At 40.4% G+C, this 20,613-nt stretch overlaps 1 protein-coding gene across 15 annotated transcripts in view, besides 3 other annotated features; it reads right to left on the reverse strand.

Moving 5' to 3' along the window:
- Window positions 1–20,613, reverse strand: part of KLF12 (KLF transcription factor 12) — a 619,957-nt gene that overhangs the window by 431,825 nt on the left and 167,519 nt on the right. For 6 of the 15 annotated variants that reach the window (NM_001400147.1, NM_001400150.1, NM_001400149.1 and 3 more), the window contains exon 1: window positions 16,059–16,491. The exons of 3 other annotated variants lie outside the window; for them this stretch is intronic. The gene's annotated coding sequence lies outside the window, so the exon portion shown is untranslated. Of the gene's footprint in view, window positions 1–15,825; window positions 16,017–16,058; window positions 16,492–20,613 lie in introns of those variants that run through there. 6 more of the 15 variants (NM_001400148.1, NM_001400151.1, NM_001400152.1 and 3 more) reach the window with 1 other exon arrangement.
- Window positions 14,969–15,148: an enhancer, noted in NCBI's record as "active region_7818". NCBI's record gives its function as "activates an Ori minimal core promoter by ATAC-STARR-seq in GM12878 lymphoblastoid cells {active_cell/tissue: GM12878}" and the evidence as "EXISTENCE:reporter gene assay evidence [ECO:0000049][PMID:35858748]".
- Window positions 15,179–15,228: an enhancer, noted in NCBI's record as "active region_7819". NCBI's record gives its function as "activates an Ori minimal core promoter by ATAC-STARR-seq in GM12878 lymphoblastoid cells {active_cell/tissue: GM12878}" and the evidence as "EXISTENCE:reporter gene assay evidence [ECO:0000049][PMID:35858748]".
- Window positions 16,238–17,987: a silencer, noted in NCBI's record as "silent region_5399". NCBI's record gives its function as "represses an Ori minimal core promoter by ATAC-STARR-seq in GM12878 lymphoblastoid cells {active_cell/tissue: GM12878}" and the evidence as "EXISTENCE:reporter gene assay evidence [ECO:0000049][PMID:35858748]".

Genomic DNA, 20,613 nt, shown 5'->3' on the forward strand with positions numbered 1-20,613 from the left:
ACTCAAAGCAATATGGTACTTGTTTGTATCCTAAAAGAGAAAGTAGACATTAATGGAAAAGCCAGTGAGATCCAAACAACAATAACCTACCAATGTTGGTTTCCTGGTCTTGATAAACAACGCCATGGTAATTCTACTAAGTGTCATTACACATTGTTAGTTTTTGTATGTGTGTGTATGTGCTTTTTGAAGTCCTTATCTGCTAGACAAATATATTAAAGTATTTATGGGTAAAATTATATGTCTGAAATTAGTTGTTCAGGGTGAGTGAGGCCAGAGATTTATGAAACAAGATGGCAAAATGTTGAGAATTGTTAAGGTTAAGTCTGGGTGCATGAGGGTTTCTTATACTATTCTCACTACTTTTGTATATGTTTAAAATTTCTCATAATAAAAGAGATATTTCAAAATCTTTTAAATGTCTATGATTTAGTCAACCTTCTTTAAATAAAAGCCACACGTCTCACAATGCTTAATGAACTTTGCAAAGTTTGTTACATTGTTAAATAAAATTCTTACGCATCAAAAACACAAAAAACTTTTTAAGTGCTTTATTAGTTATGTTGTAAAGGAAATCTGGTTTCCTCTGAATGGTGTGACTTTCCATACATTATGTTAATCTATTTCCTGGTAGATAAGAGAATGAAGGACAAAGTGGCTGACTCAGTTGCAAAGGCTGGTAGGTGGAGGCAATGAAAGAGAAATGCACTCTCACATTACATTTATTAAATTATGGTCAAAAAGTTTCAAAACTGATACGAAAATGGAATTAAACCAGTCCCTGTGATATATTATCACCCCCGCCAAAACCCAATTTACAAATCAACCTTTCCAACATCTTAATTGTAAGAGGGTGCAAGTCTGTTAAGATAGGAAGCTGCACATGCTCATGTGCACACACAAACACAGACCTCTTCCCAAGAACAAAGACTACAAAGAGAAAAAATAATGAAAGAAAAGATGTAGTACTTGAAAGATCCAGGAGACCAAACACGTGAAGAGAAAACTAAAGGAGAAAAAGAAACAAATAAAAGGAAGACAATAATAATACATCAACTTCTTACCATAATAATTATTTATCTCAGTATCTACTGTTCTCTTATATATAATGGCAGGAAGTCAATCAAAAATTACAAGGGCAGGGCACAATGGCTCATGTCTGTAAACCCAGTAACTTGGGAGGCCAAGGCAGGCAGATCACCTGAGGCCAAGTGTTCAAGACCCACCTGGCCAACATGGCAAAACCCCATTTTTACTAAAAATACAAAAATTATCCAGGTGTGGTGGCACGTGCCTGTAATCCCAGATACTTGGGAGGCTGAGGCAGAGAATCACTTGAACTTGGGAGGCGGAGGCTGCAGTGAGCCAAGATCACACCACTGCACTCCAGCCTGGGTGACACAGCGAGACTCTTATCGCAAAAAAAAAAAAAGACAAGACAGAAAAACAAAGCAAGAAACTACCCACTGTCAACAGATAAACCTGTCAACACAAGCAGACCCTGAGATAGCAGAGATACTGAAACTAACAAATTGAGAGTTGCAAAATAAATATAAGATGTAAAAGAATCTAGAGGAAAGGGTAGAACATGCATGAACAGAGAAATTAAGCAAAGGGGTCATAAAAAATGCTAGGCAAATAACTTCTATGAAAAATTAAGAATTCTTTCACTGAGCTAACAACAGACCTGACACAGCAGGAAGAATTAGGAAACTTGAGGACAGATCAATACAAATTATTCAGACTAAAACTTGAATAGATGGGGGAGAGGTGCAGAAGATTCAAGACTTGTGGGGCAATACCAAGTAGTCTAATGCGCTTGTCAACATAGTCCAAAGGGAAAAGAGAAGAGAAGGGAGGGAGAGCAATAGAAACACTGAAAAGGTAATGGGTAGAAATTTCTGAAAAACTAAGAAAAACAATAAAGCAGCTTAGAGAATCCAACACATGATAATTATAAATGATAACACACCTATATGCATCATAGTAAAACTGCTGAAAACCAAAGTTAAAGAAAAAACTCCTGAAGGCAGCCAAAGAAAAGAAAAAAAAGAAACATTACATATAGACAAAAAAAAAAAGAATTTCAAAAGATATCTTTTCAGAAGTATATAAATGAGAGGATACTGGAGCAATATCTTTAACGTAATGGTGGAAAACTGTCAACCCAGAATTGAATACCCACCTAAAACACTTCAGAAACCAAAGCATATAGATACCTTTACACAAGCAAGAGCTGAGAAATGTCATTCCCAGCAGATTGCACTGCAAGAAATTATTTAAGTAGGCCAGGCACAGTGGCTCATGCCTGTAATCCCAGCACTTTGGGAGGCCAAGGTGGGCGGATCACCTGAGGTCCGGAGTTCAAGACCAGCCAGGCCAACATGGCGAAACCCTGTCTCTACTAAAAATACAAAAATTAGCTAGGCGTGGTGGCAGGCGCCTATCAGGAGCTACTCAGGAGCGTGAGCCATGAGAATTGTTTGAACTCAGGAGACAGAGGTTGCAGTGAGCTGAGGCTGCGTCACTGCACTCCAGCCTGGGTGGCAGAGCGAGACTGTCTCAAAAAAATAAAAAATAAAAAATTATTATTTAGGTAAAGAAAGAATTTATTTAGGTAAAATTAATATGATACTATATAAAAACATATCTACATAAAGAAATAAAAAAAACCCTGGAACTAGCAAAAATATGAGCAAGAATTTTAAAACATATTTTTGTCTGATATTGAATCTGTATTAAAGGTAACTTATTATTTAAAGCAAACACAGTAGCCAGGATGGATAGGCTATAACATGTATAAGTAAAATATATGAAGAAAATAGCACAAACAATGAAAGAGAAAAAAATGGCAATATACTAAGATTCTGCTATCATACAGTAAGGTAAAGTATTACCTGAAGGTAGGCTGTGAGAAGTTAATGATGTATATTAGAGTCACTACTAAAAATACAAAACAAACAGATTAACTAATAAGCCAATAAAGAAGATTATATAAAATACTAAAAAATAATCAAGCCCAAATAGAGCAAGATACAGGTGACTATGAGGGAACAAAAGAGAAAAATAGAAAACAAATAGCAAGTTCCAGAAACCCAATTATACAAAAAGTATTTTACATTAAATTGCCAAAACACTCCAAATAAAAGTTAGAGATGGTAAGAACAGAGGTCAATTCACTAAGAAAACACAACAATCCTGATGTGCACACACCTAATAACAGAGTTTCAAAATACATAAAGCAAAAACTGACAGCACTGAAAAGAGAATTACAGAAATTCACAACTGTACTTCAATACTTTCCCAATAACTGACAGAATAAGGAGTCAAAAAATCAGTAACAATATAGAACAATATAGAATTCTCCAGTAAATTCTCCCATACTTTTATGGAAGAAATAGTACCAATTCTACACAAAGTATTCCAAAAAATAGAAGAGAATGAAAAACTTCCCAACTCATTATACGACGTTATGAATACCCTGAAACCAGTATCAGATGAATACATTAAAAGAAAAGAAAAAAGCTAATGACCATTATCCCATTAAACAAAACAAAACAAACAAGCAAACAAAAACACTCTTAAAAATCAAATCCAGCTATGCATAAGATCAAAGCTTATGTAAGCAATGCATATTTTTGAAATATAAAAAATAAAACACGAGCAAATGAAAAACATCTACATTCTTGAATTGAGATAATATAATGCATTGCAAATAACATTAAAATGTTAATTATCCCAAGAATATATATAATTTAATGCAATCCCAATTAAAATCACAACAGGGTTTTTGAATTTTTTTATCCCAGGAGAGGTGTGATGATGGATAAAATATTCCTCACATATGAATGCTAGTTGCAAGTATTAGAATACCTAAGAAAATTTATAAAGAAATCCAGGTACTACTGGATATATGAAAACATTACATGACAAATGTGAAATTTATATTCTCTGGAAAAAGAAAAAGACTACCTCAAAATTGCTGCTGATACAATGGTATGTCTATGCTCTGAAATTAAAAAGTAGACTCCCTCTCTTATACCATATACAACAATAAATTCCAAATAGATTAAAGACAAAAATGGGGGGGAAAATTAAATCTAGTGAGGAGATTACATGCCTACTTTATCAATGGAGAAAACCTTAAAACAGGACACCAGAGAGAAAGAGAAGGAATTGCTTATATATTTTAAAGGTTGTATTCAAAAGATACTTCTTGAACAGGCAAGAGATAAAAGATCAGCTTATGAAAAAAATTACTTGCAATGGAGATGTCAGGCAGATGGTTAGTGGCTTTAATATAAAATGAATTCCCACAAAAGGACAATAACCAATTTTTTTAAATGGGCAAAGAATATGAAAGGACAATTCTTAGAATAATTCTAATTTTCCTACAAACATCACAAAAGATGTTCAAAGTCACTAACAATCAGAAAATACTAATTCCAGTAACAGTAAGATATTACCACACAATTATCAGACTGGGAAACATGAACTATTACTGATGGTGATTGGGGAGAGCGTATTTGCCTGCATTGCTGGTAATAATATGAATTACTATATCCTTGTCAAAGCAATGTGGCAACATTTATGAAAATTGATACATCTTGAATGGATGGTCCTATCCCTGGGAATCTATTCTTTAGGTCTCTCAGAAGATACCCATAAAGTTATTTATTACATCATTAGTTTAAAAGCGACAAAAACTGGAAACACAGTATTTCCCTCTAATAAATGAGTGAGTAGACTATGAAATAACCACTCCTTGGAATACAATATAACAAATTTTTAATTGATTAGAACAGTAGCAGCTGAGAAGGATTTCTCTTAGGCAGCACTGAACAAAAAAAGATAAAAGAGTTTCAAAAAAACTCCTTCCATTTTTGTAAGCAGTGACTAAAAACTGTGTATGTGTTCCTAACGCTTAAGAACATGGATAAAAATATAAAAGGACACATAATCGTGCTAAAAACATAAGTTATGGACTAATGGAATGCTAGTTTTGGCTAGAAGAAAAAGAACTAAGTAAAAGACAAAACAGGTCACTAAAAAAAAAAAAAAAAAAAGAATGAATTTAAAAGTTTCCATACAAGTATACCCACTTTTATCAGAATAATATATTTGTAAACAATGCCCATTAAAGCGAGCTTTTGCAAAACAATGCTTATTTTCTAACGATCTTCAGTTGTGTTTCTTTGAAAACTTAAAGAGTCACAGAAATAAAAAGATAAAAATAAATCACACGTCAATATCATAAATACCTATCTGTGTGTTGGTTGGAAACATAAAATGAAATGCGTTTAAAATGTATTATACACATTTAAGATTAAAAAAATGTGCAAAAAGTTTTTGAAAGAAAAAACTTACGAAACTACATACCTAAATAGGAAAAGTTTTTCTAGTAAGATTAAAAGTACTCCAAAGAGACTACGGCATAAATCTAAAAATATCCAGGGTACCTTCTAGGCACATTAAAGATCTAAAAGAAATAAACTAATCCAGAATCTATCAGCTTGGGCTTGCCTTTCGGCTTAGCTATCCTGCTTCTTTCTTGATCTGCCTACATTGTAGGACAAAGCCCATGTTTTATCTACGTATGTATTTACAGCACCTAGCACAAGCCTTGGCACATGGTAAATGCCCTAACTTTCTTCAAAGAGTATGGATGTCTCTAACTGCACACTCTCTATTCCAGGGTCAACGGGTTGATCTCTCTGGGCTGTTACATATGGATTCTTTCTACCTTTTTAAAGTGCATTTTGGAAGAAGGTAAAAATTCATCTGATATTCACTGGGCATTTCATATGAGCTAGACACTAGTGACACTTCTTTTATGTAATGTGGACTTGCAAAGTTTTTACTTATCGAGACTAAATGAAAGTCAGAAAGACAGTAGTAATTATGCAATGGGAAAAAACTATTTTACTGGTGTTGGCAATTAGGGTTCTAGTTCTGCCAATTTCTAGACTTTTACCTTCTCCTGATTTTAGTGTTCTCATCAGTTACATGGGTAACATGTGTTCAATCCACCATACAGAACTATCAAGATGAAACTAAATCCACTCTAAACCACCAGGCACAAAGCAATTTTTGTTGTTGTTGTTGTTAGCCCATACTTATCAAGTATTCTAAACTGTCTTAATTACTGTTATTTATAAACAAAACACAAGGTAACGGCCTCAGCCTAAAGCCTTGGTATAATTCCACCACACTCAATATAGTGCTAAAAAAAAATTCCATTAATGCTTTTAATCGACTCATTGAGTTCATTTCTTTCTTCAATGAAATATTTTGTGTTTGCTAAAGTTACTTGTATTCATATCTAAAGCAGAAGAGCTAATGCATATTCCAAAGTCTGTTAGCCTTGAAATATCCACCTACTTCAAGCTTCTAAATATCCCTTCAAGCAACACTTCTGATAAACTGCAACTATGATCTTCTGCAAAATTTATGTTTTCAAGTTTTTCCTTCCATTGTTCTCACGTTTTACAAAATTGTATTCCTCTTAATATTTAAATAATATTTTAATACAAACTAAATATTCCCATTATTTAAAAGATTTTTTTGTCAAAGTTAAAATTCCGATCATTTAAAAGTAAAATACTACACATTTTTTCAAAAATATGGAAGACCTTCATTAGACAGCATCACATAAAGTGCATTTAAAGTTGTATTCATCAGTCAACTTTCTTTGCTTTTGTAGCCCAAATAAACCATCTGTAAACTCATTATAACACCATATACCCTATTGGCCAAGCATATCCTAGAATCTATTTTTGGAAAAGAAAACTTCCTGGTGATACGGCAAATGATAAAAATTTGCCAAAACACCATAAAACCATCAGCTCTAAAAGATAACAGAAAAAAATAAGAGGGAAATCACCACAGCTGCCAAAATATGTTTTTAATTTGCATTCATCCATTAGCAGGTTTGCTTTTTCTATTAAAAAATATAAACTGGGCCGCGTATGTTGGCCCACACCTGTAACCCCAGCAGCAAGGCGGGTGGATCACTTGAGGTCAGGAGTTGGAGACCAGCCTGGCCACCATGGTGAAACCCGTCTCTACTAAAAGCACAAAAAATCAGCTGGTCATGGTGGCACACACCTGAGTCCCACCTACTCGGAAGGCTGAAGCAGGAGAATTGCTTGAACCCAAGAGGCAGAGGTTGCAGTGAGCTGAGATGGTGTCACTGCACTCCGGCCTGAGCAACAGAGCAAGACTCCGTTTCAAAAAAAAAAATATATATATATACACACACACACACACACACACAGTTTATATTTAAAAAACACACTGTTTATATAAAAAGATACACATACACACTGTTTATATAACGAATCTTTTCCATATATCTACTAAAACCCTGAAACCTCAATTTCCCAGATAGAAACAATTTTTCCCCAGGTGCTTTAAACAACTTACAGCACTTGGTCCATTTATCACAAATTACCTTACATTATAATGTGCCACATAATTCTTACCCCACCCTCCTTGATTTTCAGCTCACTAACGATACTGGATATTGTGCTACCCATTTTCATATAAGGGTCTATAGATGTAGTAGGAGCTAAATACGTGTAAGTCAAACGGATAACTGAGGCATGTTCTAATAAAAATAACGTTATTATTATTTGTATTATGTCCCTAACTTTGATAGCTTTATCCAATAGCAGAATGCATATTAGCCAGAATTTATTGGTCTACTATTACCACTGCTGCAGAACATCCTATAGCAGTTTACTTCTAAAATAATTTTTTGGATAAGGTATCATAATTTGTTTTACTACATATATCAGCAAACAATTGACTTCTTTATTGAAGTATATCTTGTAGTAAACGTATTCTAGTAAACACAGTATGTCAATATGATCTACAACAAATATAATAATACAGCCTCTAAACCATATTTATTTGTATAATCCTTCCACTTTTGCTTTATTCTACAGTAAGGCTAACTCTGGAATATTACGTTTAATGATAGAGGGAGGTAGGAGTAACACAAGGGGAAAGTCCAGGGGGCTTTCTAGCGTTCAGCTCTCTACAGCTAACTGGCTATTCACTATAATTTCATTACTTTACTTTGCTGAAAATCAATTTCCACATCTATGAAATAAAAATCATAATACAGTTCATAAGAGTCCAACAATAAAACAGAAAGCATAACATAGTGCATATAGCACATATGTGCTGTATTACATGTCATATAACATATACTATACATGACATATAAGTTGTACGATTCAAATATATATTAAATGATACAAATACATATGATACATAGGCTATGAGGATTACTATACCTATATTATACAAATATCATTGAATATTTATTTAATAAAGGATGGAATCTAATAATTGTATGAGATTTTGTACGTTTTCTCCTGAAAGCATACAAAACTCAAATATGCAGAAGTGAAGGGACCAGACATGTTTTAAAGGAGACTCATTCTCACAGACAAAAGGAAAATCACAAAATCTGCCATTATATACAATCTATTAGTCATTAAAAGTATTTGTATTTTTTGTGTTCTATTTCATTTTTTTCACAATTTTTTTCACAATTCATCAGCTTAACTCCATGCAGCACTTCCAATAAAGATTCATCACTTTCAGCACATCTAATGATTATTGTCTCAATTTTATATCAAGATAATAAACTTTCTCATAACTAGATGCTTTCATTTCCCCTTTTTCCACTTGTTTTGTTAAAATAAGGTAAAAAGCAATAAAATTTTCCAAATAATTTTTGAAATTTTTGCCAAAAGTGGCAAAGTCACAGTTCTGTAGCAGGTGGGGGTTACTTGGCAAGACAGCAACACAAACAGCCCAAAAAAGGCATTCATCAAATGATGTTCGTAAGTCAAAATCCAGTATATAAATGGCATTTCAGAGGTGACACGTATAGTATTCCATGTGCCAGTTATTTGAAAAGTCAATGATATAAAAGCCAAGGGCTACCAGTACCTGTTTACTAAAGAGTACATATTAAACACACTAACATATGAAAAACCAAGTTCTTAACTTCTGTATTATACTAGGTATACAATAAGGAGTATTTTATTTTGTACCTACTATTTACTCTGAATGGCTGTTTGTTGTTACTGTTGTTTTAGAGACAGGGTTTTCAAGGCTGGAGTGCATTGGCTCAATTGATCATAGCTCGTTGTAGCCCTGAACTCTGGGATCAAGGGATCCTCCTGCCTCAGCCTCCCAAGTAACTGGGAATACAGGCACACGCCACCAAACCCGGCCTGAATGGCAGCTTTTAAGAGAGCCATCAATACACTAGAGCAAATATTTATAAATGCAGCATGGTTTAATTCTACTATACTACAAGATTTCTTTTTGCAAGAAGACATAAAAAATTTTTTCAGGGAAATAAAGTGAATCGAGGAATGGTTGACAGCGTTGAATATATTTAGCTACTTAGGGTGGAAAAGACCATGATAGGGGCATTTAGAACAAGGCAAATCAACAAGCAATTAACACCAGAAGGAATACTATGAGTTGTGGGGCCCGAGAATACCAACCGGAACACAGTGTATTCTTAAAGCAGGGGATGATAAATAAGAGAGTCCCACAAAAAGTGATGCTGATGTTTGCAGTGATAATTGTAACATGAATTGGAGTCAGGCAAGATACCTGTAACATGGAAAGAGTCTAAATCAGTTATATTGAAGAGATAGTTTGAGTTTGTTTCTTTGCTCTTGCAAGGGTTTAAAAAAATTGTTTTTGTTTCTTTTTTAACTGGAGAAAATGCAGTTGCGGAGAAATCATGCGTGATTATAAATAGGTATTCAATAAATGTACAAATAACGTGTAAGATCCTCATTATCTACCTTTATTGTGCATTTTGTATAATGTTAGTTAAGAATAACATATAGCATGTTGCAACAATGTTTGAGTCTAACCAAGTGACTTTTAAGCCATAAATCAGACATAGCTTAATCAACACAATCTTGATTTAACTGGGGATTTGCAGTTCAATGTACTGCTTGAAATTATAGTATATCACAAATTTAATAATTCTATTTTTAAAATTAAGGGCATTCTTTTTAATGACCAGTTGATAGAAGCTTCAGGTGACTCATTAAAGAAGTAGCCTGCAGATTTTCAATCTCTAATCATTGTTCATCTTTATTTTCAATTTTCTGTAAATGATCATGTGAACTGTAATTTCATGTGTTTTTCTTTTGACAAGCTTGGATACTTCACCTGTATTATATAAATGTTAATAATCAGTAACTTTTATACCAGCTACGTTGAAACTTTTTAAGAGTGACTTTCTCAAGGTCACAGAGCAAATCTCTGGTGAGACAGGAATGGAATTCATGACCTTTGACTGCCAGAGTTTTCTACCCACACTCGGAAATTCCTTCCCCATAAGTGTAATTTATATGCTCACTTTGAGAAACAGGAAAGTTTATCCCTTTCAGGGGAGGGCAGTGTGGGGGCGGTGGAGGTATGGCTGGAGTGCTTTTCCTATCAAATCAGTTGCCACACAAGAACTTTGTAGTTTTACAAAGTGACTTTTGGCCACATTACCCCATTTAACCCTCACCACAGCCCTGTAAACTACATATTATTTTTTCCATTGTATAAACTCAGAGAGGTTAAGAAATTTGACCAAGGTCATCCATAGTTAGCAAGCAAGAGAGTAAGAATCGAACTGAGATATTTCTGCCACTGAAATTAGTTGTGATTCAAGGATGTATCATCTTAGAGGTTACCATTCATTGTGAAATGAAGGAAGGTTTTCTTTACATTGTTTTCGAATAATTTAACTTGGTTGCCATTTAGGTTTGTTTTCTTTAAGGCAGGGTTGTTTTTCTTTTGTTACAAGTTAGCTCGATAATTTCAAAGTGAGCACAGTATTACTAAAGATAGAATTTTTTTTAAAGACTGTTTTTCCCCCTTTTTTATACACACGTGTGGCTTTTTACTGTATTTCTCGGTCATGAAATTTTACTGTAATTCTTGCTCTTGTGTATGGTGTGTGTGGGTGGGTTATGTACTAATATAGATATAGACTACAAAAACACATGTAAAAACATATAAAGATAAATACTAAATATACACATACACATATAGATATATAAGATGATGAATATATATGTATATACAGTATGTAGTCATTCTTCAGTACCCTTGGAGGGTTGACTCCAGGATCCCATCCCACAGCAGATACCAAAATCCATGGATGCTCAAGTCCGTTATAAAAAATAATGCAGTATTTGCATATAACCTGTGCACATCCTCCTACATACTTTAAATCATCTCTAGATTACTTACAATCACTTATACAATGTAAATGCTATATAAAGTTATGATTTTATTTGTATCATTTTTATTGTTGTATTTTTTTCTTGAACGTTTTCAATCTACAATTGATTGACTCCCTTAATGCAGAACCCACGAATAAAGAGGGCCAACTGTATACATATACATCATGCCAGGAATTACTGTGAAAGGCCATATATACTGAGAAGCATGGCAAATGTCACACTTGGGACACAATTCATGGCTGTCAAAGCCAGCAGGTAGTTATCGTGGTAGCTTCTACAGTCACTGATAGTGGTGGGGAAACTATCCCAAAGGTCTCCTAATTTATTCCACTCTCACCTTCCATGCAGCAGTACAGCAGTAAGGGCTTCCTGCTACTTCTGCACCAGACAGCAAATGTGTTTGGAGCAGTCTAATTATTACACTAATAAATATTCAAAAATGTAGACCATGAGAGTAGCAACAAAAGAAACACATGACTTTAAGTTGAAAAAAAAAAAAAGACAGGAAGAAAGACCATACCAGAGCAGAATTCTTTGGGTGAATATCCTGTAATCTACTGCCGACCAAAACAAATTTTTATGGAGCAATAAGACTACTCAAGTAGCCACTTTATGACAATAAACACCCAAAACGGAAAAATCCTTTTGTAACATAATTACTGACAATATAGAGAGAAAGTAACCATTTAATCCACAGCATGTGTTCTCTACCACAAGAACTCAATAGCTGACATCAGATGGGGTGTGGCCGACCTAGGCCCTAAAAATGAATTCTGGCGGGTGGAAGTCAGGCAGCTCTCTGGGCTGGGCTTGGGATCCAGAAACTTAGCAGGTCTAACAGAGCCTAAGACTGTTGACCTTCTGGGCATAGGGCAAGGCCCATCTGTTTACTTGCTTGCTTTTGGGAGGAGTGGTTGTGGTAGATGAGTTAAGGCTGTGGTTATAGGGCGTTGCCAGTGATTTAATTTTAATATTTTTACCCTTACATTCTGTACACAGTTAAAAGTTCAAAGCTGTGCATAAATTGCAGGCCGAAAAACAAGTAAGTGTGAGTTTGAAAGGAAAAATAAACACTGGGCAAAAATATAAGCCATTTCCAGTCTATGATCATACAGTATTTTCAAATAGAAAATGACAGATAAGCAACTACAACCTATTTCAGACTTATTTTAAAAATTAAACTTGTAGCCAGCGCAGTCGCTGATGCCTATAATCCCAGCACTTTGGCAGGAGGTTTGCTTGAGGCCAGGAATTCAGGATCTAGCCTGGACAACACAGTTAAGACCCCGTGTCTACAAAAAAATTTTTAGCTGGGTGTGGCAGTGTGCACCTGTAGTCCTGCCTACTTGGGAGGCTAAGGTGGGAGGATCCCTTGAGCCCGGGAATTTGAGCTATGATGATGCCACTGCAGTCCCGCCTGGGTGACAGAGTGAGACCTCAACTCAAAAAAAAAAAAAAAGCTGTTTTCTAAGCAGAAAAGGTAATAATGGTGTTGATTTTGAATAAAACTGTCTTGGGATTTTAGCTCATGTTCATTAATCAGCATGCAAGTGGCAAGCAGAAAAACTTATAAACAAAAACTTTTCAAATGAGTTTGTGCCATTACTAGTTTTATAGTTTAATACACAATCTACAGCTAGATTTATGAACTTGACTGCTTCTCTCACAATATAAAGAAAACAAACCATTTGACACTCCAATTTAATGTGATCATTGTAATATTATTAATTTGCAAAAACATAAAGTCCCATGCTTTCCATGTTGTACAATGGAAAAAATGTCCAGGACCTCTATATGTTCATCTACTTAACAATATGCCTTCACTGGGTAAGGTTACCCCAAACTCTAGATTAACCAACACTGGCTTGAATTCAAAATGCTCTCAGCATAGGCCTAGAGGCCTAAGCACTTACGTTGTCTCTGCAGAGATAAAACACACCTATATTTAAGGCCAAATTATTTCAGTAAGTTGATAACAGCCTGTTTCATGATATACTGTAACATCTAAAACTCACTGGAGCCTGTTAAAGTGCATACTTTCCCTGAACAGGAGTCAGGGAAAATATCCCTGAGCAACATGTATATTTTCACATGACCAGAACACGATGGATATTACAGGCCAGATGCATGTTCTTCAGAATGAACGTCAAGCATCCCGATTTGTTCTCCCTTTGGCCTGGGGAGAGTGAGTACACTAGTGTTTGCAGACCTTCCCTTTCAGCACACACATAGGCTGCAGCTGTAGTAAACAACCACCAGCCAAGAGTTGCTAAGGTCAAGGTCTCAAATGCTATACCAGGACCATTTACTCCCAAATGATAGTCATTGCTGTAAAAAGAACTTCTGGGGAGTGGGAGGTGGAGAATATTAAGGACTCATTAGCACAACAATTTTTTTCAATAAACAGTAATAAAAAGCATTCCACAATAAAGTTCAGCTGACTGCATTGCTAAGTAGTAGATAAATAACTGAAGGTTTTCAAAAATAAACAGAAACCCTCAAGAATGTTTTGTTTAACCTGACATAGCCATGTTGGTTACATGGTCTTAGTTCAAAATTATGAAAATTTTATGTGAAAACATTTCAAATTTCAAATTTTCCCAGTACATTTCATAATAGTTATTAAATTGGCAGAATAATAAACTGCTTTCCTAATTTTTATATGCTCAAATTGCTCTTTCCCCAACTCAAAGGAGCTTAATATATTCAATCTAGTATCAAGACCCGTCTGCAACAATAAAGATATAACTTACCCAACTGAAACGTCTGTCCTTCAACATCCTATTTCCACTATGCTTCTACAGTTTGAAATTTTCTAACCTAAAAGTATACTCCTTTATCGGAACCAATTTCTATGTGGTCTTAAAAAATGCACACAACATGTGAATGAGGTCTGAGAATAGCACAAGCAAGCTTTTTTCCTTGAGGGAGGGGGGGTCCACTGTTTTAAATAAATGTCAGTTCTAAAAGCGTTTCTTAGAAGACGGTATACACCCACTCCTCAAAGTGACCACTCCTATTCCCATCACAAGCTGCTTCTTGCTAAAAGCCACCAAATTTATTTCAAAGCATTTACTTATCTAAACAACTCTATCGTCCAGTAAGAAAAGGGCATGGAGGCGTCTAGGTGGTTTTGCAGAATGACGTGTATTTGATTGGCAGATGTCTACCGAAGTCACTAGATGCACACGCACTAAATGTAAATAGAGTTGCTCGTCTCTCCGATGTTACAGGGAAACAGAGAATCTTAACGCTGGTGTAAAATAAAATATCAGAGTGCTCGCCGAGAATTCCATTAGCCAGTGGAATTATCTAAAACAATCCATACAGAACGACACTTTAGCCATCTATACAGTTAAATTAGAGTGCTGACAATACTAACTACGCAAACTGTTTATCCAGATTACACATTCCGTTGTATTAATACTCTTTAACTCAACACAGTCAGCTTTTATCAGCTGAAATAAGACTATTACTATTAAAGTATGCAAAACTCGAAGCGCAGGGTGAAGGGGGTTGGGAAGCTGCAGGGCATATAACAAAGGAATTGGTACTTTTTCCAAGCATTTGCCTCAAATGCACTGCGAAACAAAACTGTTGAGTGCACCCCACCCTTTTCCCCAAAGATAAAAGTTTTCAAAGTTCTTGCAGACAGCTCGCTACCCAACAAAAGCAGGACTGATTCTCCCCGTAGGGGAGCATCTAACGTGAACACCAACTAATGTCGCGGAGGTCAAGTCTGAACCCTCAGAGTGAGCTTCTGAGGCAAGAAGTGGCTCCCAGGCCGGCTCTGCGGGTTCCCGGCCCGGGTGGACGTACAAAGTTGCCCCTTGTCAACTCCGGCCAGGTCCCCCGTAATTGAAAATAACAGCCACCGGCCAGCCCCTGGCTACTTGCATGGACCAGGCACTGTAGCAAGTGACAGTTACACATCATTACGACCAGAGACAATAATGAATGTAGCACCAGGAGCACTATTCATGCCAGCAGTGTCATCTCCGCCTTAACCCCTTCCCCTCCACTCTCTCCAGCGCGCACACACAGCCCACACGGTCCCGGTGCGGAGCTATTCATCCACCCCGCTCGAGGCCGGGGGGCCAACTACTTCCACGAGCCCCCCCTCCCCCCCAAGTTCAGCCCTGGGGTTTTATTTCACATCCTTGGCAACTGTCAGGCAAACACTGCAACCAACAATTCCACTAGGGGTAGAAAAACACTTGCTTAATTCACGTTACTTGATAACTTCTTCTGGAAAAAAAAAATTAGGGGAGGTGGGGAAGAAACCTCCTTCTTTCTTCTCCACGAATCCGACCGACGCTACTTGCTTTGCAACAGCATCGCCCTTCCCCGGCCCCCTCCCGCTTCCCAGCACTTTCCCCCTTTAAGAACACAGACCAACCAAAATGATTTAACTTGAGCAGATGACAGAAGGAAAATAAAACACGTTAAGAGAATACGGTCTGATTTGGGATGGCAAAAAAAAAAAAAAAAGAGGAGGGGGTTGTTTATTTTGATAAGAAACGGAATCGGCACAGACCTGAACAGAAGCTGCAGAGCAGGAGAAATTGTTTTCTTTCCCTCACACAGAGTCCCCCTCTCTCTCTCCCTTTCTCTCTCTCACACGCGCGCGCGCACACACACACACACACTCGCACACACACGGCGTCACCCGCGCACACGCACACGCAGAGCCTCTCAGCGGCTCTCTGCAGTTCTCAGGAAATGAATGGGGGGCAACCCGGGGAACTGTTGTACTTGCAAATGACTTACCCGGATCACATGATGCGCTAAATGTAGGGTGGGCCGGTGGGTGGAGGCTGCCGAGTTGCGAGCCCCGGTCTAGTGTGGGGAGCCTCGCCAGGCCCGCATCGAATTACCCCGGGGCCCAGCCGAGGGGGTTGCAGGACGCCGCTTCTCCTCCCTCGCAGCCCGCAGCTCAGGAAACCGGAGAGGCGCTTGGGGTGGGGTGGGGTGGGGTGCTGTGAGGGGGGGGGCCGAAAACAAGAAACCCCCAAACAAAAGAGCTCCGGGTCCTCCTCCCCAGAAACAAAGCCCCGCCGCTGCCGGCGAGCCCCGGGGTGGGGCCGAGGGCGGGGGCGGCGGCGGGGAGGGGCTCGCTCAGCAGGCGCTAAGTCGCTTTATTGCCATAAAATGGGGCCCCCGAGCCGCTCCGCCCGAGGATTAGGAGGCGGGCTCTGAGTGTGATGGTTGAAATCCCCTGTGGGAAACTAACCCCTCCCCGCTCGCAGAGGTAGAAGGCAACACCCACTGCCCGGCCCTCGCCTCCCCGCCCGGACCGCCGGGCTGGGTCCGCGGCGCCTCCACCCCGCCCCACCCCGCCCCACCCCTGCCCCCGCCCTCCGGCCCCGGGCCTCGGCAGCGCTTCCCTTTCACCTGCACCACTTTGCTGCGGCACCCCAAATAACCCACACATGGCCCTGGGAGCTCGGGGAGTCGTCGGCCGAGGGGGCCCGCGGGGGCTTGCGGCGGGAGGGACCCCTGGAGAGCAACTCGCTGGGCAAGGACTCGCGCCGAGCCGCGAGAAAGTCTCCTCTTTTGTGTCAGAGCGCGCCAGACAGGCTTAGGAGAATTCGGGGACCCAAAAAGCGTGCAGCCCGCTTGGGCCCCCACCCCTCGCCGCACCCGCCCGGGTGGGGGCGCGCAGTGGAGGGAGGGGGCTGTCGCCCGGGTCGTCCCCGCGGCTCGCCCGCCAGCGAACTTGGAAAGGTGTGGGCGGAGCCGGCCGGGACTGTGGGGCAGCTCGCGGGGACCGCCCCTGGGCGCCGGGCATCGCCCGCGCCGGGCAACAATGGGGTCAGGCAGGGGCAGCCCCGCGGGCGGTGCCCCCCGCGCGCCGGTGGGGCGGGCGGAGGGCCGGGCGCGGCAGGCAGGGGAGTCATTGTTTGGGTTCCGGAGCGACGCACGTTGCGGGCGAAGCGGGGGCGCCCCTTTTCCCTGCGCTTCACCTTGGCGGGATGAATGGGGGCGAGGCGGAGATGCGCGCCTGGCCTCGCCACCCCAGCGAAGGGGCCCCTGCCTGCGCCAGTTCTGTGGGAAAGCACGCAAACTTGGAGGACTGGGGCAGAGGAAGCGGGATCTGCAGACCCCCGCGGGGCCCGGGGGCGGCGGGGAAGGGAGTCCAGCTCCACTGCCCCACGCCCAGAGCGGAGCCCCAAGAAGCGGACGGCCCGGAGCCGAGTCCTTGACGCTCTCCCCGGCAGCCCCTCCCTCCCCGCCTCCGCGCCCCGGGGAGCGGATCCGCGGGATTGTGGGGCGGGAGAGGGAGGAGGCGGCCGGGCGGCCCTGCAGTTCCCGCGGCGGCTCGGAGGGCGCGGGGTCAGCGCCGAGCCGGAGGGTCGGCGGGGGCGGGGAGCAGACGGGGCGGAAGCGGCCGGGCGGGCGGGGCGCGCGGCGGACGGAGGCGGGAGGCTGTGGGCCCGCCTCCTCACCATCCTAGGTGAGCGCGGCGCTCCGGGCACGACAGTATTCCCCTGCCCCGCGCCCCCGGCCCGGCCCGCCCCGCGTGGGAAATCGCCAGGGCTGTGGGAAGGCCGGGAAGGGGAAGTTTGTGTGCAGAGAGAAAGCTTTGCTGTACTGTGGCGTGGAGTGGGGTGGGAAGAGAAACAAGGGAGAGGCCGAGAAACAGGAAATGAGAACGAAGGCACGAATGTGAGCCAGGGCCAGCTGGGCTCCCCATCGGTGTGGCGGTTTCCAGCCACTTCAGGCGCGGTGTGCGTTCCTAATGACAACAAAGGCGGCGTCTGCCTGGTGCGTTCTCTGCCTCTTGCCACTCCTAGGTTCTGGGGAAAATGGGATGGGTGGTCCAACCTAGAGGAGGGGTCCCACAGCCTAAGATGCGTCTTAGGAAGGCAGCAGGATTCAGAGGAGGGGTCTGTCCTGGTCTTGAGGTTTCGAAGAGGAAGAAATGTCTGAAATTTGTGGAGCACTGCTCGAGTGAAGTAGCCTCAGCGGCGGGAGCGGGAAGGCGCGGGCGCAGCGAGGGCGTCGGGAACCCAGTGGGACTCGGGGGTGAGGGGTTGGTGGTTGCTGCGGTGCGGTCTCTGTTCCGGGGAATGCAGCCGCAACTCCCACTCCCTGATCCGATCCTGGGCCTAGGGTAAACAGCCCCTTACACTCCACTACACCCGGATGGAAACGACGTGAAAACACAAGTTTGAAAAGCAGCAGAATATCAACAACTGCGCAGGATTTCAACGAGAAACTTGCCTCTACTAGAATCACTGTGAAGTTTCCCTCTAGGTGGGGCAGGGAGTGAAGGAAGGGAGTTTCACTGTAAGGGTGGAAGGATGCTGTAAGAAATTATGTCATCGTGGCAGTTCTTGTACTAACAGCTCTTTCTCGAGTGAGCTGAGTGGCGGATAGACCATAAATATATTCTATAGCGAGTGCTTCTGCACGTGGAAAAGCAAACTGCACTGCCTTCCTATGGCATAAGCCACGGGCTTGTTAGGAGAGTGATGAAAGATAGAAAACAAACTACAAGAATCCATTCCAGAGGGATAAGGAAACTAGGGGTAGGTCAAGGTTAGTATCTAGAGTCTGGATACCCTGTGTGGTTAAAAAAAAAAAAAAGTACATCAAGCATTGGGGGGAAAAGATGCAGATTTTAAAAATTGTTGACAGATATGGAGTAGAAATCTTAAGGCAACTTCCTAGCTATGAAAAGGAAAAGGAGAAAAGAGAAAAACAGGTTTAGAAGAGAGAATCACTTCATTGTGTGGACTTGGGGTGCGTGTAAAAGAGCAAAAACATTTGAAATAATACAAAGCATGGATGATAACGGAGATCACTAGAGGAGTGTGTGTGTGTACACACGCATGCGTTTCCAAACTAGTTCATGTAATTCTATCTCCATATAGAATTTAGATTTAAAGAAAAGTAAGGTGTGGACGGAAGGGAAGAAGATAGGGAAAAGTACACTACCTTGGCAAAGGTGCGGATTTTTAATGTTTAGACCTTTTTCCTCTCTACCTCTGTGTTTGCAGAGATGTGAAAAGTCAGAAAATGTAAAGATGGCAAATTTATTTCATCCTTAATTCAAGAGGACCATGTAAAAGAATGTGTAGCGAGAAAGTACGGTCATAGAATTTGGGGGTTGAAAGTATCTGTCGAATCCAATACTATGTGGCTTCAATCCTGTTTAAAACCAAGATGATTTTGATAAAGAATGATAACCCATTTCCCTAACTATATATAAAAACTTCATTTACTTAGTCTTAGATAACCAAAAGAAGGATGAATTATGAACAAAGAAGATAAAGTTGGGTATTCTTAATTTCTTACACATAACGCATGCATTGAGTTTCTTTTACCTAACACATTGTCCAGAAAAGAAAACCACACCCAAACACCCTCAAAGCAGATAAAATATCTAATTCAAACAACAGGAAAATTTACAATTAGAAATAATGTTAATGTAAAAGTAAGTGTTACCTGCCCACAAACTTTTTGCCAGCTCTTCTTATACTCAACCAGTGGTGATACTGTCTTTGTAAAATTAGTGGTTAGAAAAATCTTTTTTTATTTTTTATTTTATTTATTTATTTATTTATTTTGAGACGAAGTTTCGCTCTTGTTGCCCAGGCTGGAGTGCAACGGCGCGATTTCGGCTCACTGCAACCTCCGCCTCCCGCGTTCAAGCGATTCTCCTGCCTCAGACTCACAAGTAGCTAGGATTACGGGCATGCGCCACCACGCCTGGCTAATTTTTGTATTTTTAGTAGAGATGGGGTTTCTCCATGTTGGTCAGGCTGGTCTTGAACTCCCGACCTCAGGTGACCGCCTGGGCCTCCCAAAGTGCCGGGATTACAGGCGGGAGCCACCGCGCCCGGCCAGAAAAATCTTTTACAGTATTAAGAGCATTACTTATACCTCACCCAGATTTATCTAAGGTAAAAACTCTGTTCAATATCTGTGTACATTTAGAGATTGTAAGGCTTTGGATTAGTGAAACCATAGATGATTTAGCACTAATACGATTTCAAGGAATAGGGTAGGAATGAAGTCCCTTTTAGAGGTAAAAGCTATGTTGAAAGATTAGAATTAACTAGAAAGGAAAATAAAGCTGATTTCCAGAACTCTGAACAAATTTTAAAATACAATCTTGATTTTTTTCCTAAGGCCGAAAGTGAACATGTACTGTTAGGTTTTCAAGCCTCTATTTTTCATATGTCATATCTTGGCAATAATGTGCAGCAAAGGGGAATTTTCCTGTTCAAGTATGAGAAAGTGAGAAAGACATGTAAAAGCCTTCCTATAACTGCAAACAGCTGGTGATATTATGTGATTACTTGGTAAACAACAT

Source organism: Homo sapiens, chromosome 13 (assembly GCF_000001405.40).
Source record: "Homo sapiens chromosome 13, GRCh38.p14 Primary Assembly".
Lineage (NCBI taxonomy): Eukaryota > Metazoa > Chordata > Mammalia > Primates > Hominidae > Homo > Homo sapiens.